The sequence below is a fragment of the Homo sapiens genome, chromosome 10 (assembly GCF_000001405.40).
Source record: "Homo sapiens chromosome 10, GRCh38.p14 Primary Assembly".
NCBI classification, from domain to species: domain Eukaryota; kingdom Metazoa; phylum Chordata; class Mammalia; order Primates; family Hominidae; genus Homo; species Homo sapiens.
The window spans coordinates 74,524,503-74,549,048 of NC_000010.11; the positions used below are offsets into that span (position 1 = coordinate 74,524,503).

General features: G+C 36.0%; 1 protein-coding gene, 1 long non-coding RNA gene and 1 pseudogene across 16 annotated transcripts in view; 2 read left to right on the forward strand and 1 right to left on the reverse strand.

The window, feature by feature from the left end:
• The window catches only part of ADK-AS1 (ADK antisense RNA 1), a 22,827-nt gene extending 18,005 nt beyond the window's left edge, over positions 1–4,822 (reverse strand). The window contains exons 1-2 of the long non-coding RNA NR_120673.1: positions 4,791–4,822; positions 3,264–3,490 (exon numbers count right to left, since the gene is read on the reverse strand). This is a non-coding gene — a long non-coding RNA (ADK antisense RNA 1). The remainder of the gene's footprint in view (positions 1–3,263; positions 3,491–4,790) is intronic.
• ADK (adenosine kinase) overlaps positions 1–24,546 on the forward strand; it is a 558,070-nt gene that overhangs the window by 373,282 nt on the left and 160,242 nt on the right. For 9 of the 15 annotated variants that reach the window (NM_006721.4, NM_001369123.1, XM_017015698.2 and 6 more), the window contains one exon: positions 754–924. The exons of 4 other annotated variants lie outside the window; for them this stretch is intronic. In NM_006721.4, coding sequence (NP_006712.2) covers positions 754–924 — 171 coding nt within the window. Of the gene's footprint in view, positions 1–753; positions 925–3,257; positions 11,689–24,546 lie in introns of those variants that run through there. 2 more of the 15 variants (XM_017015704.2, XM_017015706.2) reach the window with 1 other exon arrangement.
• On the forward strand, positions 3,080–3,594 carry MRPL35P3 (mitochondrial ribosomal protein L35 pseudogene 3; annotated as a pseudogene).

Below are 24,546 nucleotides of genomic sequence, written 5' to 3' on the forward strand. Positions count from 1 at the left end.
CCGTCTCAGTCTCATGAGTAGCTGGGACCACAGGCACACACCAACACACCCAGCTAATTTTTGAAATTTTTGTAGAGACAGAGTTCCGCCATGTTGCCCAAGCTGGTTTGGAACTCCTAGACTCAAGTGATTGGCCCACCTTGGCCTCCCAAAGTGCTGGAATTCCAGGTGTGATTCATTGTACCCAGCCAGAAGTTATGATCTTAATTAACAGATTATTTTAAAGTCACTTATAAGAATACAAACTCAGCCAGGCTCAGTGGTGTGCACCTGTAATCCCAGCTACTTGGAGGGCTGAGGTAGGAGGATTGCTTTATCCCAGGAGTTCAGGACCAGCCTGGGCAATATAGTGAAACCTTATCTCAAAAAATATATATTCCAAACTGTTTGTAAGAAGCTAAAAGGATTCAGTTTGCCTTCATAGTACAATTTCCCTAATTCGAATGTAATTATTGTCTTGAATGAGACCTTTCAAACATTTTTTCTTTCATGAATTTCCAGAATTCTTTAGTATTGAGCATATAAACCTAGTATGAAATAAGTAATGCTTTATTCTCTGAAGTAATGGCATGTATCAAGCATATGGTACTCATATGATCAAATATCCTTCCAGTCAAATGTTGCTATTTTCTGCCTTGCATCTTATAATTGTATTTTATATACTTTTGTATTTTGTATAGGTTTCTTTTATTCTCACTGAGAGTGACTGTGGAGATGGTATTTCTAATTTTCCCTCCTTTTTTCTTCATCCAGGGCTTTTTTCTTACAGTTTCCCCAGAGTCAGTATTAAAGGTGGCTCACCATGCTTCTGAAAACAACAGGATTTTCACTTTGAATCTATCTGCACCGTTTATTAGCCAGTTCTACAAGGAATCATTGATGAAAGTTATGCCTTATGTTGATATACTTTTTGGAAATGAGACAGTGAGTTACCTTTCCTTTTTCAAAAGAACCTGGGGGTTTTTTGTTTGTTTATTTCTGATGTGTGTATATATGTTTAGAAATATATAAATTAAATCCTAAATTTTTGTGTAAATGTCCTTGAGAATTGTGCAACAAAATTGCCTCAATGTCAACTGCTCTCAGTATTTTCAATATTTCCTTCAGTATATACTAACTTCTTTCTTAGTGAAGCATTTATTTATTTATTTTTATATTTTTATTTTTTTGAGGTGGAGTTTCCCTCTTTTCATCCAGGCTGGAGTATAATGGCATGATCTTGGCTCACTACAACCTCTCCTTCCCGGGTTCAAGCAGTTCTCCTGCCTCAGCCTCCTAAGTAGCTGGGGTTATAGGCGCATGCCACCATGCCCAGCTAAATTTTGTGTTTTTAGTAGAGACAGGGTTTCACCATGTTGGCCAGGCTGGTCACGAACTCCTGACCTCAGGTGATCTGATCGCCTCAGCCTCCCAAAGTGCTAGGATTACAGGTATGAGCCACTGTGCCCGGCCCAACATTTATTTTTTTAAGGTGTTTGACGTTTGATTTACTTATAGTAAGAGTCATCCTTTTTACTGTAATTTCTGTGAGTTTTTACAGATGGATACCTGTCCTGTTACTATGACCACAATCAGGATAAAAAAGCACATTCATCACTTTTTTAAGTCTCTTCAGAGTCTAAGTCCATTTGATATTTGTTTAATAAATTATGAGTAAATTTTGATATATTACATTTATATTTCTTTATTAATAATATTTTTAAAATATTGTCTGTTATAGTTGAAGGTGATAAAATGGAATTTCATCTCAACAAGTACAGTTTTTTCTTTCTACCAAGAATGTATTTTCTTCCATTCTAAATTATGGAAATGCTTATTTACTTAAATGCTTATTTACTTTGATTGCTTGTTTACTGTTTATACCTCTTATTTACTGTTTATACCTCTTTAAAAATCCATGAAAGAGGAAAAAATCCTTCAGTGTGTCTTCCTATGACTTGGCCATGTCACTTGATGGTTTAATGTATACAATGAAGGTATTGTATTAATCATCCCAGAAGTTCATTCTGATTCTAATTCCATAGTTCTAACATAGTTTGAATATATTCATCAATTTTATATCTAATAACTGCCATCTGCCTAGAATAACATAAAAATTGACCTGGAAGTTTACGAGATCACCTGGGTAAAGATTAAAGGATGATCCATAGAAATAATATCACAGTGTATCTGCAAAGGTGATGGTTACATTGGTTATAAATGGTGACATTGGAAGGAAATGCTATATTCTTGATAATTCACAAATTGAGATACTGGCAAGAAATAGTGGTAATAGCCAAGTGCCATATAACTGCTAGAAGCCTAATTTGACTAAGATCTACCATTTAGTTTTTCCTTATTAACAGTTTTATTTTGTAAAGGGTAAAAGAAGTAAATGGGAAAAGTGCTATTCAAGCCTTTTGAATAACATTAAAGCATTGGTCTCAGTAGTCTTGAGAATCATTGGGAGAAGTTAACATTTGGTCTCAGAGTTCTAAATAGTCAAGAAAGATCAGACTGGCAGCACTTAAATAAGTTCTCTAGAGTTTAAGAGACAAATCTTAAAACTTTTAAAAAAGATAAATATGATTCCAAAGAGGCCGGGCACGGTGGCTCACGCCTGTGATCCCAGCACTTTGGGAGGCAGAGGCGGGTGGATCACGAGGTCAGGAGATTGAGACCATCCTGGCTAACACGGTGAAAGCCCGTCTCTACTTAAAATACAAAAAATGAGCCAGGCGTGGTGGCGAGTGCCTGTAGTCCCAGCTACTCGGGAGGCTGAGACAGGAGAATGGCGTGAACCCAGGAGGCGGAGCTTGCAGTGAGCCGAGATCGCGCCACTGCACTCCAGCCTGGACAGAGCGAGACTCCGTCTCAAAAAACAAACAAACAAAAAAAAAAAAACATAAATATGATTCCAAAGAATGAAACTTTGGAAGTAAAGAAAGCTTAGGGAGATTGAATGCCATAAAAAATGCTATTTGGACTTTATAGTCACAAATGATCTTAATTAAGGAGAGAATGTGGAGGGACCTTTTGAAAAAATATAGCAGAGCACGCAGAAAACTCTTTAATAAGAGCTCAAATTTGGAGGATAACGAGATAGCTGCCTCTGCCTTTGCCGGTGCAGTGAGAGCAGCTTCAGGAATCTTATGGCCTCTGAATATTTTGGCATCTTCAGCCTACCAAAACTGTGTCAAAAATGCCTCTCTTATTTCTGCATTGTCCACTGGACGTTTTAGTCATATTCAGACACCAGTTGTTTCCTCCACTCCCAGACTTACCACATCTGAGAGAAACCTGACATGTGGGCATACTTCAGCGATCCTTAATAGAGTGGCCCTCTTGCTTCCAAGTGTCTTGAAGCTGCCAGCCAGATCTCTAACATACGTCAGTACAGGAAAAGGCAAGAGAAGGATTGTGAAAGCTGTCATCTATAGGTTTCTTCGACTTCATTGTGGCCTTTGGATGAGAAGGGCTGGTTATAAGAAAAAATTATGGAAAAAGGCACCTGCAAGAAAAAAGCGATTGAGGGAATTTGTATTCGGCAATAAAACCCAGAGTAAACTCTTAAGATAAAATGACGACGTCCTTCTGGAAGAGGTGAAACTGGTATGTCCATGATCCTTATCAGAAGTGTCATGATCGAACAAACCTGAAAGTATAGATCAGAAGTTTCACTTGTTTCTCAGTTATTGAATATGTATCTTTGTGTACATATCTGCAAAAATGGATAAGTAAAAATCTCGATGTAAATTGTATCAATGAATATGTAAACATACAGTGACAACACTGAACTTATAAAAGTTTTAAAACTTAAAAAAAAAGCTCAAATTTGTAAAAGACATGTAAAAAGAAGGTGGAAAATGTATTTAGAATCAGGGAATGATGCTAAAAGTTTGGTAGAGACAAAAGAGAAAAGAAAGTCCCAAAAGTGGTTTAAGTTTGCAGCAGATGCTGATGATATCAAAACAATCTTCACTTAAAAAAAAAAAAAAGACTCCAAAGTACAAGCAACAAATGGAAAAAATAGATAAATTAGACATCATCAAAATTAACAATTTTTGGGCATCGAAGGACACTAACAAGAATGTGAAAAGACAACTAGTGGAATGGGAGTTAATATTTGCAAATCATATATCTGATAAAGGATTCATATTCAGAATATTTAACACAGTAACAACTCAACAATAAGCAAACTAACAACATAATTCAATAATGATCAAAGGAATTTAATAAACATTTATTCGAAGAAGATATACAGATGGCCAGTAAACACATGAAAAGATGCTCAACATAACCATTCAAGAAGTGCAAATCAAAACCAAAATTAGATACCACTTCACACCCATCAGAATGACAATTGTTTTAAAAAATGGAAATTAACAAGTATTGGTGAAGATGTGGAGAAATTGGAAACACTTGTGTATTGCTGGTGGGAATGTAAAATGGGAATGTAGAAGACAATTTGGTGGTTCCTCAAAATGTTAAACATAGAATTATTACCATATGATCTAGCAGTTCTACTTCTAGGTATATTACCCAAAATAACTGAAAGCAGGGACTCAGATAATTGTACACCAATGTCCATAGCAGCATTATTCACAATAGCTAAGATAGAAGCAAATCAAATATTCATCAACAGATGAATAAACAAAATTTCATGTATATATACAATGGAGTATTATTTAGCCTTAAATAAAATTTTGATACATGCTACAACATGAATGAATTTTGGAAATACTATGTTAAGTAAAATAAGCCAGACACATCAGACAATTATTGGATTTTCTAAGAAGAATTCCACTTACAAGAAGTATCTAGAATAGGCAAATTCATAGAGACACATAGTAGGATAGTGATTACCTGGGAGTGGGGTGGGGAGGAATGAGGCATTATTGTGTAATAAGTACAGAGCTTCTGTTTGGGATGATGAAAAAGTTCTGGAAATGGATAGTGGTGATAGTTGCGCCACACTGTGAATGTATTTAGTGCCAATGAATTGCATACTTAAAATGGAAAATTTTATCATATGTATAGTTTACCACAATTTTTTTGAAAAAGTTTTATTCTACAAATCAGTAAACTTAAAAGTTGGATCACAGCTTAGCATAGATTATTAAAGGAATTATTTTTCCCCACCTAGAAGAGGAAGTGGTAAAACTGTAAGCTGCTACGTGGCTGTAAGTCATGGGGCAAGAAAATCTTTTCTCTTTTGGTATGATTATTGTTCATTTGAATTCGCTTCAAGAGGTATTTATATAGTACCTAAGTACCTATTATGGCAGACCAATAAGCAGTGGATACATAGTATATTTTAGAACATCTGTCATTACGTGGACTATAGAATAATAAAGATTGGCTATAAGACAATTAGAGGTATTTGGTATTTTATTGAAGCAGTCTCAAAAGGTCTGTTGATAAATAAATTGATTTCTAGGGGTACGCCTCAGTGTTTACCCTGCCTTTGCTTAAGTAAACAGTGATTTAGATAAAGCTATATTTGCATATAATTCAAATGCAAATAATACAACACCTTAATACATACTAGGTAAGTTGAAGGTCAAAATCAGATTTTTTTAAATGTTAGTAGACTCTAAATATCAGTTGAGTGATGAAATTTAATAGGGATAATAAAAATTATATCGTATTTGATTATAAAAAGCAAGTAGAGTAAAATGCTTTATCCCTTTAATCTCATCATCCATTGTTTTTCTCCTTGAATACTATAGTGATAATGTTATCTTCAGTTTTCCAGGAAAAAAGAGACATTTTACTTCTAAAATGTGACGAAGGATAAAATATAGTTATCAGAGAATATACGTAGGATTCTTTAATATTTCCCCCCTCAAAAAAATAAAGTATACTGTGTTTAGTATAAATTTTTAAAATGTCAAAACTCAGCTAAAATCAAACACACTTGGCCCTTATTTTCTACATGTCACCTTCCTCTTGTCAGAGGATTGTACAGTAGTAATGATGATTTAAAACTTCTGATAGCCTCAATATTTAAAAAAAATAATACCTTGTCCACAAAGATTATTTCTTCACAGGCAATGATCAATGATCCCTGTGAGACAAGAAATAAATAAGATAAACCTGATGATTACCCCAGCTAACTCCTTGGAGATAATTTCCAGGCAACAGAAGAAAGGTAACTAAGGCCAAGCACAGTGGCTCACGCCTGTAATACCAGCACTTTGGGAGGCTGAAGCGAGTGGATCCTTTGAGGTCAGGAGTTCAAGACCAGCCTGGCCAACATGGTGAAACCCCCTCTCTACTAAAAATACAAAAAAGCCTGGCAGGGTGGTTGTGCGCCTGTAATCCCAGCTACTCGGGTGGCTGAGGCATGAGAATTACTTGAACCTGGGAAGCAGAGGTTGCAGCGAGCCAAAATTGCACCACTGCACTCCAGCCAGTGTGATTGAGACTCTGTCTCAAAAAGAAAAAAGAAGGGTATCTCAAGTAGACCCTTGCAGTCTCTTTTAATGAGGAGTTGGAGCCGGAAGTTCAAGGAGTCTAAGACAGCTAGTGTTTGTAAGTTAAAAGTACCAGAGAAGAAATAGCTGAATAGAGGGAGAACACAGGACATTTGCAGAATCCCAACAAGTCTTCAGCTGAGTATGAATCAGTGCATTTTTGTGAAGAAATTAAGGAAGACCACAAAAAGAACCACCTAAAAAGATTGTAGAAGACAATCCTCAGTGCACACATGAGGACCTATAACCATTCCTATCCTACTAGTCAGAGTGGATAACCTCGTAATTCACGAGGCTTCAAGTAGAGTATTAAAAGGAATTTTGTCTCATTAGCAGGTTAAAATCAGCTCTAGACTAGATGTTCTGGTCCCTCCTGTCAATATTATTACAATATATTTGACAACCTTTATGAAATGGACAAATTTGTTAAAAGACACAAAGTACTAAATCATACTCAAGAAGAAATAGAAAAAGTCTGTTTAGATTATTAAAGAAATTGAATTTGTAGTTAAAACCCTTGCTACAAAGAAACTTCAAAGGCTGAATTGCTTCAGTGTTTAATTCTTTTCTGTTTGTTTGTTTGTTTGTTTTGAGACAAGGTCTCACTCTCTCACCCAGGCTATAATACAATGGCACAATCATGTCTCACTGCAAGCTCAAACTCCTGGGTTCAAATGATCCTCCTACCTCAACCTCCCGAGAAGCTAGGACGACAGGTGCAAACCACCACAGCTGGCTAATTTTTAATTTTTGTAGAGAGGAGGTCTCGTTTTGTTGCCCAGGCTGGTTTCAACCTCCTGCACTGAAGCGAGTCCTTCTACCTCAGCCTCCCAAAGTGCTGGGATTACAAGCATGAGCCACTGCACTTGGCAGTGTTGAATTTTAACACAGATTTCAGAAAGATGTAGTACCAATTGTATACAAACTGTCCCAGAAAATTGAAGAGGGAGAAATATACCTATCTTATTTCATGAGGTCAGCATTACCTTCATACCAAAAACAAAGTATTGCAAGAAAACTACAGACCAATATCCCTCATAAACACAGATGTAAAAATTCTTCAAATAATTTTAGCACATCAAACCGAACAATATATTAAAAGAGTAATTCATCATGACTAGGAGTGTAGAATTGGTTTAGCATTTTGAAATCCATCAATGTAATTAAATATGTTAAGACTAAAAAGAAAAATCACATGATTATCCTAAAAGCTTTTGAAAAATCCAGACATCTATTTCTGTTAAAAGCCCTCGGAGGCTGGGCATGGTGGCTCATGCCTGCAATCCCAATAGGGATTGGTGAGGGTCAGGAGTTTGAGACCAGCCTGGCCAACATTGCAAAACCTCATCTCTACTAATAATACACAAAATAGCAGGGCATGTTGGTGGGCACCTGTAATTCCAGCTACTTGGGAGGCTGAGGCAGGAGAATCGCTTGAACTGGGGAGGCAGAGGTTGCAGTGAGCCAAGATCATGCCACCACACGCCAGCCTGGGCAACAGGGTGAAACTGTGTCAAAAAAAAAAAAAAAACCCTTGGAATAGTAGAAGCATGAAAAAATCCAGATTTAGAAAGAAGGAAGTAAAACTGTCTCTATTATCAAAAGCATGATCATCTTCATACAAAATCTGATGTCATCTTCAAAAAGCTATTAGAACTGGCTGGGCATAGTGCATCACGCCTGTAATCCCAGCACTTTGGGAGGCCGAGGCTGGTGGATCATTTGAGGTCAAGAGTTCTAGACCAGTGTGGCCAACATGGCAAAACCGCGTCTCTACTAAAAATACAAAAATTAGCTGGGCATGGTGGCACACGCCTGTAATTCCAGCTACTTGGGAGGCTGAGGCAGGAGAACCCGGGAGGCTGACCTGAGGCAGGAGAACCCAGGAGGCGGAGGTTGCGATGAGCCGAGATCATGCCACTGCACTCCAGTCTGGGCGACAGAGCAAGACTCTGTCTCAAAAAAAAAAAAAAAAAAAAAGCTATTAGAACTAAGTGACGTAGCAAGATTGTAGCATACAGAATAAAAAATTTAAATCTCAAATGTATTTTTCTATATTAGCAAGAAACAACCAGAAATTTAAAAATACGATTTCCAATACCATCAAAAAGTATAACAAAGTATTTACTTTGGGATAAACCAGACCAAAGATGTATACACTGAACACTACAAAACATTGTTGAAAAAATTTAAGAAGACCCAAATGGGAGATATATCATGTTCATAGATTAGAAGACTCTGTATTGTTAAATATAAATTCTACTCAAAATAATCTATAGTTTAGTGTAATTCAGTCAGAATTTCAGAAGTTTTTTTTAAAGTCAAGTTGATTCTAATATTTATATGGAAAAGCACTGGACTAGAGTAGCCAAACCAACGTGGATTTTAAAAACCAAATCAGAAGACCTTTACATGATTTGAAGACTTATTACAAAGCTACAGTAATCCAGACAATGTGGCATTGGTGTAATGATAGACAAATAGTCAATGGAACAGAAGGGAACGTCCAGAAATAGACCTAAATTTATTTTTCAACAATGTTTCAGAGGCTTTTTCATGGAGGAAGAAAACAGTCTTTTTGACAAGTCGTTCTGGAGCAATTAAATATCCATATCTAAAAACGCAAACTTCAACCCACGTAACAAACAACTGCACGGCTATTAGAATGTCTGAAAGTGTGACCATACCAAATATTGGTAAGGATATATGGAGCAGCTAGAATGTAAAATGGTACAACTACTTTGGAGAATGGTGTTCTTGTTTCTTACAAAGTTAAATATACATCCTCCAAATGACCTAGCTATCCCACTCCTAGATATTCACCCAGGACAGATGAAAGCATCTGTCCATGTAAAGACATACACAGGTGTTTATAGCAGCTTTATTTGTAATGGCCAAAGTCTGGAAAACAAACCAAACATCCACAACTAGTAACTGGTTAAACAAATTGTGATATTTCCATAGAATAGAATACTACTCAACTATAAAAGAATTGTACTATTGATAAGAAATGAACCAACAGCATAGAAGAATTTTAGAATACCTATGCTGAGTGTAAGATACTGTAAAGTACATTCTATATGATTCTATTTATATTCTAGAAAGTGCTAACAAATTTATGGTGATGGCAGATCCATTGTTGTCTGGGGACAGGGTTATGCTATGAGGCAGTGATCACAAACGGGCATGAGGAAACTTTTAGGAGTAATAGATGTGTTCCCATTGAGGTTGTGGTTGCAGTACTTTATACATACGTCAAGTTTTATCTAATTAAACACTTTTAGTTTGTGCAGATAATTGTATGTCAGTTATACCTCAGTAAAGCTATTAAAATGAATATATACTTTGATTCCATTTATATGTTTAAAAGTAGGAAACATTATTCTAAAGCCATTAAGTTCCAAAAATACACTGCTAAAATGAAGAAGTGCCAATTTGTTATTTTTTGATCACCATATATGAAACTTCTGTTATTTCCATGGAAGATCCCCTTATATTTAAGTAGCAATGTCAAGCCAGAGGAAGAGTGTTTTGATAGTCCTGGGTTCTAATCATGACAACTAAAAATTATCATAACCTACCATTGAATAATGCTTTAAAGTTAAAAAGGGTATTCACAAAAACCGTCATTTAATCTACAAGGCAATTCCATGTGTTTTTCTAATGCATGTAAAGTTTCAGCTTGGCTCATGGAATATATTCTCAATTTTTGTTAGGTAATGTTGGTAGTAGTTTTAGGAGTATTGATCATGTTATCTATTAAGTTTCACTTCACTTTAACTTGCTTTGATAACTCACACTCTTCATTCATTCCTGTTAAAACATAATGAATATAGTACCAAGTGCATGAGGGAAAACTCACAGCTATTGGGCTGCTCTCTGCTATACCACCTTACTTCTGTTCCAACAAAGTTATTTGCTTACAAAAGTTAATTATGTTTTTCCTAAACTTGGTGAAATTTGTGTTCATTATTTAATTATTTAACATTATATATTCTGATGAAATATGAATGCAAGTAGAATGAGAATTAGTTTAATGAGTTAAGGTTGGTTCCAAAACTAAATACATATGAGTTATTTTTAATGTTGCTATTGAATTGGATGTGGGCATGAAAAGTATAAAAGATTAAAGGCAGTAAAAAGCTGTAAACATCTGTATTCAGGAGTGCTTCATAGGTGTTTTTATGTTTTCTCTCTGCTTTAAAGAAGTTGAAACTAGGCCAGGAACCATAGCGCACACCTGTAATCCTAGCACTTTGGGAGGTTGAAGTGGGAGGATTGCTTGAGCAGAGGTGTTGGAAACCAGCCTGGGCAACATAGTTGGACCCCATCTCTCCAATTATTTTCTTAAAATTAGCCAGGCATGGTGGCACACACTTGTATTCCCAGCTATTCGGGAGGCTAAGGTGGGAGGATCGCTTGCACCTGGGAGGTTGAGGCTGCAGTGAGCTACGATCATGCAACTGCACTCCGGTCTGGGTAACAGAGTAAGACCCTGTCTAAAAATAAAATTTTTAAGAAAGTAAAATGAGAATTCATAAACTATGAATTCTAGATGTGGTTCTACAAGAAAAACTCTAGAATGTCAGTCTGTAGGCATGCTCAAAGGTTTTGACCCTATTTTTTTTTTTTTTTTTTTGAGACAGAGTCTTGCTCTTATTGCCTAGGCTGGAGTGCAGTGGCACCATCACAGCTCACTGCAACCTCCACTTCCCAGGTTCAAGCAATTCTCGTGTCTCAGCTTCCCGAGTAGCTGAGACTACAGGCGTGCACAACCATGCCTGGCTAATTTTTGTATTTTTAGTAGAGATGGGGTTTTGCCATGTTGGCCAGGCTGATTTTGAACTCCTGGCCTCAAGTGATTTTGAACTGCCCACCTCTGCCTCCCAAAGTGCTGAGATTACAGGTGTGAGCCCCCCACCCAGCTGACCCTATTTTAAATATTAGCAAATGATGTATCTTTATATATTAAAATAAAATGTTTAGATTATGAAAGCTATTTTTTGTTCCCTTAATTTAATCATCACTCTGATTTATTTATCAACTACTATTCCTTTTCCTCATCTGTAAATTGAGGGGATTTGCATAGAAATACTAGATAATCTTTTAAATTTTTTCTTAAAGCTTAAACATGTTATAAAACTGATGATTCATTTTTTTTCCACATTCTAAGATTAATACTGTTAGATTTTATTATAAATTAATAAAGTTCCTCTTTTAACATGTAAAATAATGCCTGACATTTCTTTTAGGTAGTTCTGATTTTTTATTATGAGTGTAGCCTTAACTGTAGTGCCTTTGAAGCTGAATTCTCCCCATTTGTGACCCCAGTATTCCTTTTTTGTTTAGTGAACCTAGGGGAAATGATATTTCTCTCCAAAAAATACCTGAAAATATTTGGTTAGACACGTGCTGGGACAAAAAGTGAAGTATCCACAGTAATACCATTGCTATGTTCTTGTGATATAACCAGATTATAATTACTAAATGATACAATTTACTTTCTTTTTTTAATTCTGGTAAAAAAAAAATACACAATATAAAATTTAGACCATTTTAACTATTTTTAAGTGTACAAATCAGTGGCATTAAGTACATTTGCAATGTTGTACAGCCATCACCACTATTCCTCTCCAGAACTTTTTTTTTTTTTAATCAACCCAAGCAGAAGCTCTGTACCCATTAAACAATAACTCACTATTTCCTGTTTCCTCCTTCCTCCTCACCCTTGGTAACTGTTTTACTGTCTATCTATGAATTTGCCTATTTTAGGTACCTCATACAAGTAGGATCATACAAAAGTTGTCTGACTTAATTTCACTTAGCATAATCTTTTTAAACTTCATCCATGTTATAGCATGTTATCAGAATTTCATCTTTTTTAAGGCTGAATAATATTTCATTGTATGTGTGAAATTTTGTTTTTTGCTTCATTTTGTTGATAGACATTTAATTTGTTTCCACCTTTGATTATTATGAACAATGCTACTGTGAATGTTAATGAACAAGTATCTGTTTGAGTTCCTGCTTTTAACTCTTTTGGATATATACCTAGATGTGGAACTGTTGGATCCACAACAGGTACACCATTTTACATTCCTACCATCAATACACAAGGGTTCCAATTTCTCCACCTCCTCACCAACACTTATTTTGCATTTAAAAAATAATAGCCATCCTGCTGGGCACGAGGTGGCATCTCACTTTGGTTTTGATTTGTGTGGTTTACTTTCAGCCAAGGTTCAGAAATACATAGTGACAAATTTCTGTTTCTTTAATTTAAAATCTTTGGTAACCTGTTACATTGCATTTTGTACTTTTAAATTACACATCTGAATTGATTGGTTATCCTTGTTAAAGTAGTTCCAAAATTACTGTAGTTTAAAAACTCTTTAAATATTACATTGTAGTTTTAATTTGTTTCTGACATCTTCAAAGTTTGAAATTTTCCCTTCAGCAACAACCATTTGTTAGCTACATTCACACGAAAGCAGCTTAATAAAGGACATTCTACACAAAGGTAATTATAATCCATTGATGCCCCTTAATGCAAGCTGCTTTGTAGTCATTATCTAGCAGTAGATGACTAAAGAACTTGATTATTCTTGTTTTTCATTTTTATTAAATTAAGAAGGTTTTTTTAAATTATGTCATTTTGCAAATGGTTCTTAGGAGTAATGCCTTTCAAGGCTCCATAATCACTAGATAATTAACCTGCAAGGATTAAGTACACTCAACTTTGCCTCAGGATGCTTAACTCTCAAATACAGTCAATTATCTCATGATAATAACTGCTTTGTCAAGAGTTACCACTTAACTCCACAGTGAAAAGTCAAATCACCCATACCATGCACTTTAAGATAGTTTCAATAATAAAATAACAGTTTGAAATGGGGCAGAAGAATTCAGTTAAATTTTTTCATAGGGATAAGAATGATATGCTTTAGATAAAGCTCCCCCTCATATCTAGTATTTTGAATTTCACAAATGACTTCAATTTATAAAGATAATATAGGCCAGGTGCAGTGGCTCATGCCTGTAATCCCAGCACTTTGGGAGACCAAGGTGGGCAGATCACCTGAGGTCAGGAGTTCCAGAACAGCCTGGCCAACATGGTGAAACCCCATCTCTAATAAACACAAAAATTAGCTGGGTGTGGTGGCACGCGCCTATAGTCCCAGCTGCTCAGGAGGCTGAGGCAGGAGAATCCTGAGAACCCTGGAGGCGGAGGTTGCAGCTAGCCAAGATCACACCACTGCCCTCCAGCCTGGCAACAGAGCGAGACTCCGTCTCACAAAAAAAAAAAAAAAGGTAATGTATTGCTCTGCTTCATCAGTCCTTTTGCTGGCAGTGTTCCTGCATTGCAAATTTTCTTATAGGAAAGCCATTTTGTCTGTTAACCTCACAGAGGATTCAATATATTAAAAATCTCTAATATACACCAAGAAAATGGAAATTACTTTCTTTACATATTGATTTAACTTTTAAAAAATCTCGTTTATCAACAAACGAATTACAAAACAGTGAGCAAAATTCTGCAGTTTGTTGTGGTTGTTTTTTGTTGTTGAGTAGCTTCACTCATATTTGGACAGGATATGCCAAAAACAGAAAGACTGCTAGATAGATCAGGACATTTTGAAAGAAAATATAAAAATGTCTTTAGGTTTGTTATCCATGTCCTCTAAGCCTGAATGATGCTTGTATCTCTTTATAAGTAAACTATCATTATCTTTTTACTAAACCAGATGGGATACATTGGCTTTTTCTTCTGTTATATATTTTACTGCCATGGGGATGGGAAGAGACTTTATTGATATTTTGTTTACACTTTTAAACCCTTTTTAATGTTTCTAATAGTTAATTAATAATTTGAAACCATCAATTCTTTAAATTGTAAATAACTTTGATACAGGTTATCTTATTTTTCAGTTTCTATACTTCTGTAAAATAGAAGTCATTTGCTCTTTTAAGATAAAAAATCTGTGTGAATCTATGTGTAATTATGTACACCAAATAGTGCTATACATGCATACAACTTCTTTCAGATATTCTTCTTTTGGTTAAGAGCCTTTTTTTCTTTGTAAAGGTATTATTTTAATTTTTAGAACTATTTTTCTGTGCACTGGAGCACATGTTTGGGAGGAAAAAAGAAACTTTCTGTCAAGTCCCTATACACAGAGAATTCTTGTTTGAATTTTTAAAAAATTTTGTCAAGTCTAGTTCTTTTATTTATTTATTTATTATCAGTTAGAGACAGGGTCTCACTGTGTTGTCCAGGCTGTTCTCAAACTCCTGGCCTCAAGCAGTCTTCCCGCCTTGGCCTCCCTAAGGTTCTGGGATTACAGGCATGAGCGACCAAGCCTGGCCAAGTCTAATTCTTTAAAGGATGTGATTTCCAAGTATTTCCAGGAATTCAAGACTGTTACCTAGATCCGTATTCTGACAAAAGAGATGATCTTTTCTTTCTTCATATCAGAATATTTCCCCCATGAATTGAGGGAAATGGGGCTGTATCTAAAAATGGTAACTCTGCCCTTTAAAGTATACAGAAGTGCCCTGTTTCTTCCTAAGAGAGGTGGAAGTCCCCTTTCTGAGACTGTGCATATAGATCTCTTTATTCCCCTTTTTCTGCTATAAGTGATAAGAGGGGCTATGTAGACAAAATGTAAGGTTGTTATAAAATCATCAAGGAATTGGGAAAGAAACTTTATCGGAGGATATACATAACCCCTTCAGAAAAAAAAACAAAAACTTATGGTGCTTTTTGGAAGAAATTCTGACATAGTTGTATTTTCTGAGAAGGATAATGAAATTTCAGTTAACATGGAACTGTAACTTCGTAAAATTGCTGCTCAGCTCCTAGATTTAACTTTCTCCCTAGGGTTTTTCTAATATATTTACTCATCTGAAAAAAGTGAGATTGACTGTAGCACAAGGGAGACTTCTGATGTCAGTGGCATGTTGTAAAGATGTGCTATGGGAAAGATTCAGAAAATGCAAAGGCTATTTAACTATATGCTCTGCATCTCTCTTCCTTTCTACATAGCTCTCTCCTTTCTTTCTTACTCCTTCGTCTCCCTCTTTACGCCAACTACATTGCCTCTCTGAAGATGAAATGCTTTTAAATCATCCCCAATCTAACATCCATCACTGGTAAAAAGCCATCTAATTATTATGTGTTGATTTTTAAAAATTAAAAAAAATTATTAGAAAATTAAGAAGAGCATTTAAATGTTTTTAATTGCAAGGAGAAAATAAATACACTCAAGTAAAGAAAAACACTGTGTAATTTGAAATAGTTTGAATTACTACGGAGATAATCATATTTTATGCAGTAATGCCTTTCTATTTTATTCACTATTTCTATTAATCTTTATTTGTTTCAGTTACTGTACTATAAATTTGTAAGTGATTATTTTGGTATTATTTGTATAGTATGCCATAATATAAAAATAATGAAAAATATTAAATATATATTTAATGTTCTTATTTAATGCCTTTAATTTTTTTTTTCTTTGAGACAAGGTCTCACTCTGTTACCCAGGCTGGAGTACAGTGATGCAATCTCGGCTCACTGCAAACTCCACCTCCCAGGTTCAAGCGATTCTCAAGTCTCAGCTTTCCACATAGCTGGGATTACAGGAATGCGCCATCACACTCAGCTAATGTTTGTATTTTTAGTAGAGATGGGGTTTTGCCATGTTGGCCAGGCTGATCTTGAACTCCAGGCCTCAAGTGATCCACCTGCCTCGGCCTCCCATGTGCTGGGGTTACAGGAGTGAGACACCTCACCCAGCCAAAAATTATTGTTTATTAAAAATCATTTAATGACATTGACATCCTTATAAATAAAAACTGTAAATTTATATCACAGTAGAAAAAGTGCTAGACCTAAATTTAGAAAACCTGTCTTTTATCCTAGCTCTTGAGTTTTTCACAGAGAAAATAGGAGTCAAGAAGCCAAAATTCTGACATGAGGGAAATAATTAGCAAAATTTAAATAGGTGCCATTGATTAGTCAATGGTATTTTATCAACATTAATTTTTATTTTATTATTTATTTATTTATTTTGATATGGAGTCTTGCTCTGTTGCCCAGACTGGAGTGCAGTGGCATCATCTCGGCTCACTGCAACCTCCACCTTCCGGGTTCAAGCAATTCTCCTGCCTCAGCCTCCTGAGTAGCTGGGGTTACAAGTTCCTGCCACCATGCCTGGCTAATTTTTGTATTACTAGTAGAGACGGGGTTTCGCCATGTTGGCCATGCTGGTCTCGAACTCCTGACCTCAGGTGATTGGCCTGCCTTGGCCTCGCAAAGTGCTGGGATTACAGGCATGAGTCACCGCACCCAGCTTAACATTAATTTTTTTAGTTTTGGTAATTTTAATATGGCTATATAGAATGTTTACATTTGGAAAAATCCTAATATCCTTTTTGACTGATCCAGATCCAGTCCAGGTTGCTCACATTGCATTTAGTTACCACATTTCCTTCGTCTCTTTAATCTAGAATGGTTCTTCAGTCTTTGTCTTTATGACCATGACAATTTTGAAGAGTCCTGACTGGTTTTTTGTAGAATGCCCTTCAGTGTGGAGTTTCCTCATGATTAATACATTTTTTATAGGAATACCATAGAAACAGCCTGGGCAACATAGCAAGATGCTGTCTCTACAAAAAGTAAAATTCACCAGGCATGATGGCACATTCCTGTAGTCCCAACTACTTGGGAGGCTGAGGCAGGAGGATTGCTTGAGCCCAGGAGTTTGAGGCTGCATTGAGCCATGATTGCCACCCTGGACTCCAGCCTGGGTTACAGAACGAGAACCCCCACACACCCCCCCCCCCTAAAAAAAAACAACACAACACAGAAATGCTATTGTGTCTTTTTTCATGCGTTATACTAAGATTTTAGTGTGTTTCGTTACTGGTAATACTAACTTTGATCACATGGTTAAGAAAATGTTGGCCCAGTTTATTCACTTCAAAGTTACTATTTCTGGCCAGGCATAGTGGCTTACGCCTGTAATCCCAGCACTCTGGGGAGCCAAGGAGGACAGATCGCTTGGGCTTAGGAGTTCAAGACCAGCCTGGGCAACATGGTATAACCCTATCTGTACTAAAAATATAAAAATTAGCTGGGCATAGTGGCATGCACCTGTAGTCCCAGCTACTTGGGAGGCTGAGGTAAGAGGATCGCTTGAGCCCAGGAGGTCACATGGTGACCTTGGAAGCAAATGCTCCCTCAAACACGAGATGACTGCAGCCCTGGTCTACATCTCAGTTGCAGTCTTGTGAAATCTTGAGTCAGAGGCACTCAGCTAAGCCATGCCTGGATTCCTTTTCCTGGAAACTATGGAGATAATAAGTGTTTGTTATTTTAAGTCACTAAGTTTTGGAGCAATTTGTTACACAATAATAACTAATATGCTGTGAAAAACAAATTTACTAAGAGCTCAATATCTGTGTACAATTTTTTTTGTCTTTAGCCTTTTGTGTATATTGTCAAAACACAGGCTTTTAGTTAAAGTTAGTTCCTTTCCCCTTCAAGTATTTTAATTTTTTTTAAATATGTGAAACATTTATATGGTTCTTAACATCAGAACTATATGAAAAGGTTTACTCAGTAGTGTCGCTCCTCCCTTATCCCTCATCTTCCTCATTCCCCATTCTGTCTCTATTCCTACCCTGTTTCTTCCTACCTACCCTCTATAAATAATCTCATTAGTTTCTGGCTCACATTTCTAAATTTCTTTTAGCACAAATTAGCAGCTAAATGCATATTTTACTGTATCTTCTTTGTTACATGAAAGGTAGCACACTATAGATAGATCCTCTTTGAACTTAGCTTTTTTTCAATCAAGTGCATCTTAGAAATCATTCCATAAAAGCTCATAGAGATCCTTCTCATTTTTAATTTTATTTTAGTTATTTATTTATTTATTTATTTATTTTTTTAATGAGATGGAGTCTCGCTCTGTCACCCAGGCTGGAGTGCAGTGGTGCGATCTCGGCTCACAGCAACTTCCACTTCCCGGGTTCAAGGGATTCTCCTGCCTCAGCCTCCCAAGTAGCTGGGACTACAGGTGCCTGCCACCACCCACGGTTAATTTTTTGTATTTTTAGTAAAGACGGGGTTTCACCATGTTAGCCAGGCTGGTCTTGATCTCCTGTCCTCGTGATCCTCCCGCCTTGGCCTCCCAAAGTGCTGGGATTACAGGCGTGAGCCACAGCGCCTGGCCTATTTCATTTAAAAAAAAAAAAAAAACTGAGACAGGGTCTCACTGTGTTGCCCAGGCTGGTCTTGAACTCCTGGGCTCAAGCAATCCTCCTGCAATCCTTCTGCCTTGACCTCCCAAAGTGCTGGTATTACAGACATCCAGCCACAATAATCCTCATTTTTTTAGTTGGATTTTCCCCATTGTGTGAATGTACCATATTTTACCCAGTCACTCTCTTATGTATGGACATTAAGACTGTTTCCAGAGTCTTGCACTTAAAAACAATCTTTCAATGAATAATCTTGTTCATACATATTTCTTGGGTTGCTAGAGGTATTTCTTCAGAGTAAATTCCTTGAAATGGAATTGTTGGGTCAAAGGATAAGTGCATATAACGTTTTGTTAGATGTTGCTAAATTCCTCTCCAAAATAATTAGAAATGTTTTCATTCTCAGCAGTAGTGTAGGTGAATGCCTGTTTTTAATGGGGTTATTTTAATATTTGGTTATCAATTATTAAGCATTGCTATCAAATGGAATTCACTAGAAGCATGTAAAATTCTAGCTTTATTTCAAATACTTAGTTGAACCAGCCAATTCATTTTAGCACAGTAAAAGTAATCCAAGAACTAAAAAGTGATCATTCTTTAAGGTACAGATTTTAAAGACTCTTTTATCTTTTTTTTTTCTTTTTTTTGCTATTTTATCAGACACATTAGAGGAATATGAATTAATCCCCATTATACACTCTTTAGTTTCATTTTCTGGCCCTGTATTTTCATCTTATACTTCTCTCCTACAAGCACCTCTTCCTTTCTCCTGTACTGCCTAACTATTCATGTTTTCTTATCATCAATACTCATTTCATATATTCCCTACCTCACATTCTCCCCTTCTTTCCCTCCCTTCTCCACTCCCATTCAGTTGGTTATTTTATAAATGTGATTCTGTGATCTTGTGTATATAATTACAATGCTTACATGTTTCTTTTACACTAGAATGTGTTCCTTTACAGCAGTGACTTTCATTCTTCACTACATTCTGGCCACTTGATTGGTGATCACTTTCTGACCGGAAGTTCCAATTATTTAATCACAAAGTTGGACTTTCTGGTGACCACTTCCCATCCTGGGGCTGACAGTGAGTCGCCCCATCAGCATAACAAAGGCACTTTTAACAATCAGGAAATTCTGAGGGTTTTTGAAGCTCTGTGCTAGGAATCCAGACAAGGACTTGATATATTTTTTACTATACCAGTTTAAGGGTTAATGATACCATGTAACAACTTTATTAATAGATTACTATTTATAGAAACTTGATAAATGTGGTGGGAGGTGGTGCAGAATCATGTGATATAATCAATTATAAATGAAAGCACAGATAAAATTTGAAATAATAAGAGAGAAATAAGAATGAAGGTTGGCCACGGTGGCTCACACTTGTAATCCCAGCATTTTGGGGGGCTGAGGCGGGCAGATCACGAGGTCAGGAGATCGAGACCATCCTGGCCAACATGGTGAAACCCCTTCTCCACTAAAAATACAAACATTAGCTGGGCGTGGTGATGCATGCTACTCGGGAGGCTGAGGCAGGAGAATCACTTGAACCCGGGAGGTGGAGGTTGCGGTGAGCTGAGATGGTACCACTGCACTCCAGCCTGGGGACAGAGTGAGATTCTGTCTCAAAAAATAATGAAAACCGAGGAGTTTTTTCTTTCTTTCTTTTTTTTTTTTTGAGACGGAATCTTGCCATGTCGCCAGGTTAAAATAAACTTTCAATTCTCTTCTCTTGAATATCTCTCACCCAACAATGTTTTTTTCATGTTGATCACTTTACTAAAGCGAACAATTGGGGTTTTACCAAAATTGTGAAGGATTTTATTCTTCCATACTTATGTCTGTGTTCAGGGTCATACAGATTCTACTTTTTCCTTTTAGTTTAAGGTATTCTCTTGGAGATTTAATGTACTTAAATTTGACCACAATTTATTGAGAGCATATTCTGTGTCAGACATTGCACTCTGCACTAGATATTCAGGAATTTCTAAAAAGAATGTTAACATTGCTGTTACATAGTCAGTTACTGATCACATTCTTTTCCTCTCAACTTTTTTCAAAATAGGAATCTGCGGTATGTTTTCACGTATGGAGTTCAGGTCAGGCTTAGGGGTCCCTGACAATGTGAATAGTTTTAAGCTGGGCCTCAATTCGTGGTACCCTTATACTAATTTAACAAGCCGTGGACTCTAGGTTCCACCAAAAATATTTTGTTCCATCCTCTCTGGTTTCAGTCCATGGTGTACAGAAAGAAAACTAAGGAACTTCAGCCCCAAATTGTCAAATTTTGCTACTTAAGAAACAGAAGATTTAAATCTATCATTTTGTCTTATATTCCAGAGTTGACTGGTTCCTCCTGTCTTTAACTTCTTGTCCTTGAAGGGTATTCTAATTTTCATTCAGAAATATGACTTCTCATAGGGTTTGTGTTAGATATTTTCAGGGCCAGATGGATATGATGTTCCCATTTCTGTTTTATTGTTAAACTACTATTCCTTTTGAGCTGTAATGAACAATTCATTCTGAGAGGCAATATATGTTTTCAGTAATTGACTTGAATAAAAGTAAATGTTAAACATGGAGTTACTAAGTTAATACAGTGGGTATTAGTACTAATTTGTTCAAATTAAGATAGAATTCTTAATTTGATAAATAGAATTCTTATATTACAGCATCAGTCCAATTGGATTGATAGTTTGTAGAAAGGTAATTTCTTACATGAGGAAAGACAGGTTTTCTTTCTCTTAGCAAGGTATTAATGCAAAAATGACCTCTTCATTTCCTACCAGCTTCCAGAAGGGAAATGCTGGTTAGGAGGTAAATTCAATTTACTCTACAAGCAAACTTCACATCTGTTATGCTGAAGTCAGAGTTTATCTTTCTTGTTATGTGGAACCTAGAAATATACCATGAGGAATACTGAAAAATAAACTAGCAGAAATTTTGCGTGATGCTGAGGATTTTTAGATGGCTGCAAAATGGGTGAAAGTAATATAAACTTAACAAAGAATGTTGTCACAACTCTCTGGAACTTAGTACTGTTTTTCAACTAACAAATGGAAGATTTGTGAGACTAGGTCGACTTAATGTGATTTCAATGCAGTAATTACTGTGTGGCATGGGCATGGTAAGAGATAGGCCTTTTCTAGAAATATTCTCATCTCTGTTTTTTTTAGTTGCTCTTACTTAGATTTATATTAACTCAGCTTCACATTTTCATTTCTTTTTATTTTATTTTAAACAATGAGAAAAATACTCCACGATGTCACTGATTTAGTTATCAGATTTGCTTTATTTCTGTATATAATAGGTAATGTGAGTACAGGAAATATATCTGAAAAGGTTACTTGTACCTAAATTTTAAGTTAGATCATTTAAAAATTACTTATAAGTCTCTTGAGTGTTTTATATAGTAGGGCAGATGGAAAAACTTATTTGATATTCATTTTTGGTACCTCTTAGGAAAATAATTGGGAATGTATTCAGTTGGAAAAAATGTTGAGAAGAGTGTTTTATATAATGATTATTTAGTAAAACATTAAAAATAATTTCTTATTCTGGAGGTTTATAGACATCAAAATTGACAAAGATTCATGGATTATACATTTCATCAAGGTACCTTTAAGCGATTTTTTAAAAAAAATTCTGACTCTAACAATGCATGCTCATTGTAGAGCGTTAAAAATACAAAAACATGCAAAAGAAAAAATTAAAATTAACATGTGTCATATCACCCAGCATTAACTACTCTATAATTTTTCCTGTGTTTCCTTGTAGGGTTTTTCCCACACATTTTTATTTGTTTTTATCATATTTATTTTTATTCCACACACTTTTTATTTTGAAATGATTTACAATCTAGGAAAGAATTATAAGAAGAGTACAGAGTTCTCTCCTACTACACTTTTGAGCATTCTTGCTTTTTCTCTCTTTCTGTCTCTCTAAATATATGTGCTTAACCATAGTACATATTCAGATTTTTCTAGCTGTCCCAAGAATGTTCTTTCTAGTGATTTTGTTTTCCAGGATCATGGATCATGCATTGCCTTAACTTGTCATGTTTCTTTGGTTTCCTTAATCTGGAGTTCCTTGATCTTTCTCCTTCATGCCATTGCATTTATAAAGAGTGTTGTCAACTGTTCTGTGTATGTAAATTCTTAACCAATTGAAATAGATTTTACATCATTTTTCCCACTTTATATATATATATATATTTATTTATTTATTTATTTATTTATTTTTATTTTATTATTTTTTTTTTTTTTTGGAGACAGAGCCTTGCTCTGTCACCAGGCTGGAGTGCAGTGGTGCAATCTCGGCTCACTGCAACCTCCACCTCCTGGATTGAAGTGATTCTCCTGCCTCAGCCTCCCAAGTAGCTGGGAATACAGGCGCGCACCACCATGCCCAGCTAATTTTTTGTTTTGTTTTGTTTTGTTTTGAGACAGAGTTTTGCTCTTGTTACCCAGGCTAAGAGTGCAATAGCGCCATCTTGGCCCACCACAACCTCCACCTCCTGGATTGAAGCAATTCTCCTGCCTCAGCCTCCCGAATAGCTGGGATTACAGGCATGTGCCACAACATCCGGCTAATTTTGTATTTTTGGTAGAGACAGGGTTTCTCCATGTTAGTCAGGCTGGTCTTGAACTCCCAACCTCAGGTGATCTCCCTGCCTCAGCCTCCCAAAGTGCTGGGATTACAGGCGTGAGCCACCGCGCCCGGCCTAATTTTTGTATTTTTAGCAGAGACTGGGTTTCATCATGTTGGCCATGACGGTCTCGATCTCCTGACCTTGTGATCCACCTGCCTTGGCCTCCCAAAGTGCTGGGATTACAGGCGTGAGTCACCACACCTGGCCACTTAATATATTTTCAACATTTTCCAATGTCTTTAATTATGTCAATTATAATTTTGGATTGCTGTATAATATAATTTATTTTCATTAGTCTTCTAGTGTTGGAAATTTTTACTGTTTGTTTTCTTTTCAGTATTGCAAATACAATTGGGAAATAAACTTTGTAAATAAATCTTTGTTGTAATTTTAATTTCTGAATCTATCAAGTATTTGTTAAAACATAAAGCAACAAAACAAAAATCCTACAGAAGAGGATAATTAAATGTTAATCTTTTTGATTCTGAATACAATTAGAATGGAAATTTGGAAAAGGGGAAAATTGCCAGATAAAGAGGTTGCCAGATTTAGCAAATAAAAATACAGGATGCCCATTTAAATTTGAATTTCAGAAGGGACACACGATATCTGGGACATACTTATACTAAAAAATTATTCATTGCATATCTGAAACTTAAATATGACTGAGCATCATGTATTTTATCTGGCAACCCTACCAGTGGTTTGAGTATTCGGGAAGACTTCATGGTAGAGATAAAGAGAGGGAATAAAGAAGATGTTTTACACAAAAGGAATGGTTGAGATTACCTCCAAAACAAGAGTGAACATAGTTTATGTGAAATAGTCTCCATAAAGATAAAGACTTTGTGTCTCATTCACTGCTGTATCCCCGATCCCTTAAACAATCTGTACACTGTAGTCACTCAATAAATATTTGTTGAACGAGTAAATGAATTTGCACTATAAATAAAGCCAGGCAACTTGGGACAAAGATTACCTGTTGTAACTAAGTAGATAAAGATAAAATTTCCATGAAAGTGGAAAACCTGGCAGAAGAATTTGGACTTCCTGCCTTCCCTTATTTATTTTATAATGATTCATTAAGTGACTGTTATGTGCCACATGCACAGGATACTTTGGAGAACAAAAACAGACATGGCTTCTACCCTCATGGATTTTATA